A 5,830-nucleotide genomic window follows, 5' to 3' on the forward strand; every position below is an offset into this window, starting at 1 on the left:
TATAAATTATTCTACTATAAAGACACGTGCACACATATGTTTATTGTGGCACTGTTCATGATAGCAAAGACTTGGAACCAACCCAAATGCCCATCAATGAGAGACTGGATAAAGAAAATGTGGCACATATACACCATGGAATACTATGCAGCCATAAAAAAGGATGAGTTCACATTCTTTGCAGGGACATGGATGATGCTGGAAACCATCACTCTCAGCACACTAACAAAGGAACAGAAAACCAAACACTGCATGTTCTCACTCATAAGTGGGAATTGAACAATGAGAACACATGGACACAGGGAGGGGAACATCACACACTGGGGCTTGTCAGTGTGTGGGGGGCTAGGGAGGGATAGCATTAGCAGAAATACCCAACGTACATGACAGTTTGATGAGTGCAGCAAACTACCATGGCACGTGTATACCTGTGTAACAAACCTGCATGTTCTGCACATGTATCCCAGAACTAAAAGTATAATTAAAAAAAAAAAAAAGAAAAGAAAAAAATGTAGGCCAGGCACAGTGGCTCCCACCTGTAATCACAGCACTTTGGGAGGCCAAGGTGTGTGGATCACTTGAGCCCAGAAATTCAAGGCCATTCTGGGCAACATAGAGAAACCCTCTTTCTACAAAAAATACAAAAATTAGCTAGGCGTGGTGGCGCATGCCTGTATCCCAGCTACTTGGAAGTTTGAGGTGCAAAGATTGCTTGAGCTGGGGAATTCAAGGCTGCAGTGAGCCATAATTGTGTCACTGCACTCCAGCCTGGGCAACAGAGTAAGACTCTGTCTCAAGAAAACAAAAAAGAAGGAGGAAGGGAGGGAGGGAGGGAAGAAAGGAAGGAAGGAAGGAAGGAAGGAAGGAAGGAAGGAAGGAAGGAAGGAAGGAAGGAAGGAAGGAAGGGAAGAAAAAAGATAATTGGATGAAAAAGAAAAGGGAAAGTAACAGAAAGGAAAGGAAAAGAAAAGAAAAGGAAGGAGAAGAGAAGAGAAAAGAAAAGAAAAAAGGAAAGAAAAGAAAAGAAAAGAAGTCCATGGAAAGTAAACTCATCTCAGGTCAGTCTCCCTGGGAGTTCATAAGACCAGAGTGGGTAGCTGTATGGGATACTAAGAAGCCTAGGCCCAGAAACCCCCCGTGCCCAAACTTCCCACACTTCCAGAGTGGTACAGACTGGACACAGCTTCAGAAATGGAAAGGGCCAGTCCAGCTAGAACAAGATTGTCATGGCAGTGAGTGGATGGGAGGTGAGCATAGGAATCAGACTGATCATCCTTCTAGCCTACTGCAGTTGGGGTTCAAAGATGGCCTCAACTTAATTTTTAAAAAATAATTTTATAGGCCGGGCGTGGTGGCTCACGCCTGTAATCCCAGCACTTTGGGAGGCCGAGGTGGGAGGATCACGAGGTCAGGAGATTGAGACCATCCTAGCTAACATGGTGAAAAAATTAAAAACTAAAAAATTAGCCAGGCATGGTGGCAGGTGCCTGTAGTCCCAGCTACTCAGGAGGCTGAGGCAGGAGAATGGTGTGAACCTGGGAGGCAGAGCTTGAAGTGAGCCGAGATTGTGCCACTGCACTCCAGCCTGGGTGACAGAGCGAGACTCCATCTCAAAAAATAATAATAATAATAAAATAATTTTATAAGACATCAATATAAATAAAATATGAACTCTGCCTTTGAGGAATTTTAAGATCAATATGGAAAATAAGACAAGGTCATTAATACGTTATAAATAAGTACGCCAGACATGGTGGTACACACCTGTAATCCTAACACTTTGGGATGGTAAGGCAGCAGTATTACCCGAGCCCAGGAGGTCGAGGCTGCAGTGAGCTGTAATAGTGCCACTGCACTCCAGCCTGGGTGACAGAGTGGGACCCTGTCTCAAATAAATAAATATATAATAACATAACATAGCATAGCATAACAACATAATATCTGTGTCATTAAAGATGTAAAAAAAATTACCTCTGATTGGAAGGATCAATAACATCCTCATAGAGAACTGAAAAAAAACTGATAAAACATAGGAAAGAATAGTGAAACCCCATCTATACTAAAAATACAAAAGTTAGCCAGATATGGTGGCACACACCTGTAGTACCAGCTACTCAGGAGGCTGAGGCAGGAGAATCGCTTGAACTAAGGAGGCAGAGGTTGCAGTGAGCCACCGCACTCCAGCTTGGGCGACAGTGAGACTCCTTCTGAAAAACAAACAAACAAAAAAAACATAAGAAAGAAAAGGCTGGGTGTGGTGTCTCATGCCTGCAATCCCAGCACTTTGGGAGGCCAAGGCAGGTGGATAACCTGAAGTCAGGAGTTCGAGACCAGCCTGGCTAAAATGGTGAAACTCTGTCTTTACTAAAAATAAAAAATAAAAAAAAAAATAGCCAGGCGTGGTGGCGCGTGCCTGCGATCCCTGCTACTTAGAAGGATGAGGCGGGAGAATCGCTTGAACCTGGAAATGGAGGCTTCAGTGAGCCGAGATCATGCCACTGCACTCCAGCCTGGGTGACAGTGAGACTCCATCAAAAAAACAGAAAAAGAGAGAGAGAAGAGAGAGAGAGAAAGAGAGAGAGAGAGAAAGAAAGAAAGAAAGAAAGAAAGAAAGAAAGAAAGAAAGAAAGAAAGAAAGAAAGCAAAGGAAGAAAGAAAGCAAGCAAAGGAAGGAAGGAAAGAAGAAAGAGGAAGGAAGGAAGTAAACAGAAAGAAAGAAAGAAAGAAAGAAAGAAAGAAAGAAAGAAAGAAAGAAAGAAAGAAAGAAAGAAAGAAAGAAAGAAAGAAAAAGAAAGACCTCAAGGTGGGAAAGCAACATTCAATAGGCAGTCTATTTGGCTGGAACATACAACGTCTAAAGTGTCCTGGGAAGTGATAAAGTTAGAGATGAAAGAGGACATGTTGACGCTCTGAACAGAGCACCCAAAGGGATCCAAAGAGCTGCCTTAGCAATGTAGGAGACTCACTCCTGATGCAGTGCCATCCTGCAGGGTGTCAAGAATTAGCTAGGACATAAATACAAGCTACCGTCCTTTGTCCCCTTATAACATATGGTAGAATCAGTCAACCTAAAATAAAATTGGCAACAGTTAAAGTGTGAGATCTTCAATTTTACCTGTGAGCATTAGACTTAGTAAAAATATGGGTCCAAAGGGGGTTAAAAACATAGAAATGAAAGAAGCCATATTTGGCAATACTAGATGTGGAAAAAAGAACTAACTGATGAATCAACTTTCATTACAAAATTTTCACAGGAAAAAAGATCTCAACAAAAGTAAGAAAATAAGAATGAAAATGGAAATATTAGAAGTGGTTTCAACGTACTCTGCAGAAAAGTGATCAGAAATTAAATTGATTTGATGCAATTCACTCCAGAAAAAAAAATATTTTTTCAGCAAAAAATGCATTGCTGTGGAATAATTAGGATGAAATTCTCCACACTAGCACTACACCATGAGAATGGAAGCACTGCCCTAAAGCAGGGATTTTGTTTTATTCATTGCTAAATCATCAGTGTCTAACCCAGTACAGGTCTCAGACTGACTTTTCCCATTTTATTTTACTGGGTTTATTCAACAGTTATTTACTGAGTCCTCACTGGGTAGCAAGTCTTCGATAATCGTCATGGATAGAGCTATGAACAAGAGCTATGAACAGCTCACTCCGCCTTTGAGCTCAAATCTGGCAGTGTCTCAGAATCCCCCAGGAAATCTTCCAAGCATGCTTTGCTGTCTAGAGAAGTCCACTAGGATTCTGAATCCACTTTATGTTCCTCTAATTCTCAACATATTAAAGCTGAAGCCACCTTTTCCAACCCAAGCATTACAATGAGCAATGTAGACCAAGGCTTCATAATTGATTTGGTCTTTTCAAAATTCTCCTTTTTTACACTTATTTACCAAAAAAAGAAAAAAAAAAAGCTTCAGTCTTTATTAAACAAAGGAAGTAGAAGACAGCTAAGGGAACAGGTCAGGACCGCTCCTTTCCCCTACACATATGCAGACTTACAAACACAGACGCCCCCGAGTGAATGTCAGGGACCACCAGGGGACAGACTGATGGGCAGAGGGAGGCAAAACCCTCCGAGAATGGGCCAGGATCCCAGGGTGGGCTGAGACCTGGGCCAGGGGCAGCCGTTCTGAGGGGTTATGCCTAAGCAGCTTGGAGATGAGGTCCTGGGGCTCTCATGGGCACAGAAGGGGGAATTTTAGGGCCACCTTGACGATTCGCCCATAGGCCTCATTGTGTGTGGGGTTCCCCACCAGCGGCTCATAGCCGAGTGCTCCGATGTACCACAAATCCACCTTCTCGGTGTGCGCGCGCCCCTCAATTGTCTCTGGGGACAGGTAGTCCAGGGTGCCACACATTTGTCTTCCTCCTCAGTGAGGGGGCGTGCACAGGGCAGCCGAAGTCGGCAACTTTCAGCTCGCCCTCAAGCCCTGAGAGTAGATTATCTGGCTTCATGTCTGGGAGTCACCTTCTTCCCGTGGCAGTACATCAGAGCATCTGCCACCTCCCCCGTGATGGTGGCTGTTGGCTTCTTGTCAAAGGTGCGGCTCTTTCGCAGCTCCTGGTACAGCTCCTCGGGGGTAGGGGTGGCGGGGGCGTACTCTAGAATCCAGTAGATTTTTCTCAGGTCATAAAAATAGTTGTAGAGACTCAATATGTTGGGATGCTGAAAGGGGGCCTGGATTTCCATCTGCCTGCGCATCTGGTGCTCCCCACGCCCTCCTCTATCTGAGACTTGAAGGCCTTGAGGGCCACGATGAAATGGCTTGTCTTCTTTCGAGCCAAGTACACATGTACAAACTTGTCTTTGCCCAGGGGACGCCCAGTCTCAAGGTCGTCGACCAGGAAGGGCCGCGTTAAGATGCTGCGCTTCCCACAACTGTTCTCTACCACCTCATGGCCAGGGGCCGCTGCGGGCTGTGGGTCTGCGCAGCTCGGGAGCTCACGCGCAGCTTCGGTGGGGATCCTCGGGAGGACTCGCGGGAGCAGGGTACTCAGGCCGGCTGGAGCCGTCTGCTTGCCATAGGGCCAGGGATAACTGTTCTCCTTCTGGGCCATCCTTGGAGGGAAAGCAGGAGGAGAGCTGAGGCCCGAGGCACAGCCGCTCTCCCAGCCACCACAAACGACGGAAATCTGCCTTAAAAAACAAAACAAAACAAAAAGAACTGGCAGCATTTTCATCATTTTTTCTCACTCTGGAAGTATTAACCACAACTGTTTATAAAATTATTCTGACGCCCGACTTAGTAAAAAGCTTGAAAAATGACTTTACAACAGCTAAATTAGAATTCAAGAGTTCAAGCACAGCTCCAGTAAGAATGTACGTAAGCACGCCACACATTCAGAAATCATGATCCTAACTATAATTGTGTATTTTGTCATTTAAAAGCAATTGTATTATTTTTCATAATTAAAATCAAGGCAGGTGGAGCTACAACTAGGAAAAAAATAAAATAAAATGAAGGCAATCCTCTTTCATCATCTCATATATTTCTCAAAAATGTTCTTTTCTTCTTGTCTACTGAAATATAGTTTCTGGGCCCAAGAAATAAGAGGTTTCTCTTCACACCCTTGGGGATAATTCTGAGACGAAACCTGTCCAGGGACCATTGCTGACCAGTGCTGATTCACATGACTGTGTCACGAAAATAGAAGATGTCATTGGGTTTGGGTTCCTCTTGGAACACCAAAATAAACACAGATTGAAACTCTCCCAAAACTACTCCCCAACCATTTTAGCACAGAGAAAGGCTGTTCTCCATGTGGACATGTTGAACATATTCTGATTGTTCAAGCCAGGATCTCAAAGGATTTGGCAGGT

The 5,830-nt window shown here is 44.3% G+C and overlaps 1 pseudogene; it reads right to left on the reverse strand.

The window, feature by feature from the left end:
* On the reverse strand, positions 3,915 to 5,136 carry AURKBP1 (aurora kinase B pseudogene 1; annotated as a pseudogene).

The sequence above is a fragment of the Homo sapiens genome, chromosome 8, assembly GCF_000001405.40.
Source record: "Homo sapiens chromosome 8, GRCh38.p14 Primary Assembly".
NCBI lineage: Eukaryota > Metazoa > Chordata > Mammalia > Primates > Hominidae > Homo > Homo sapiens.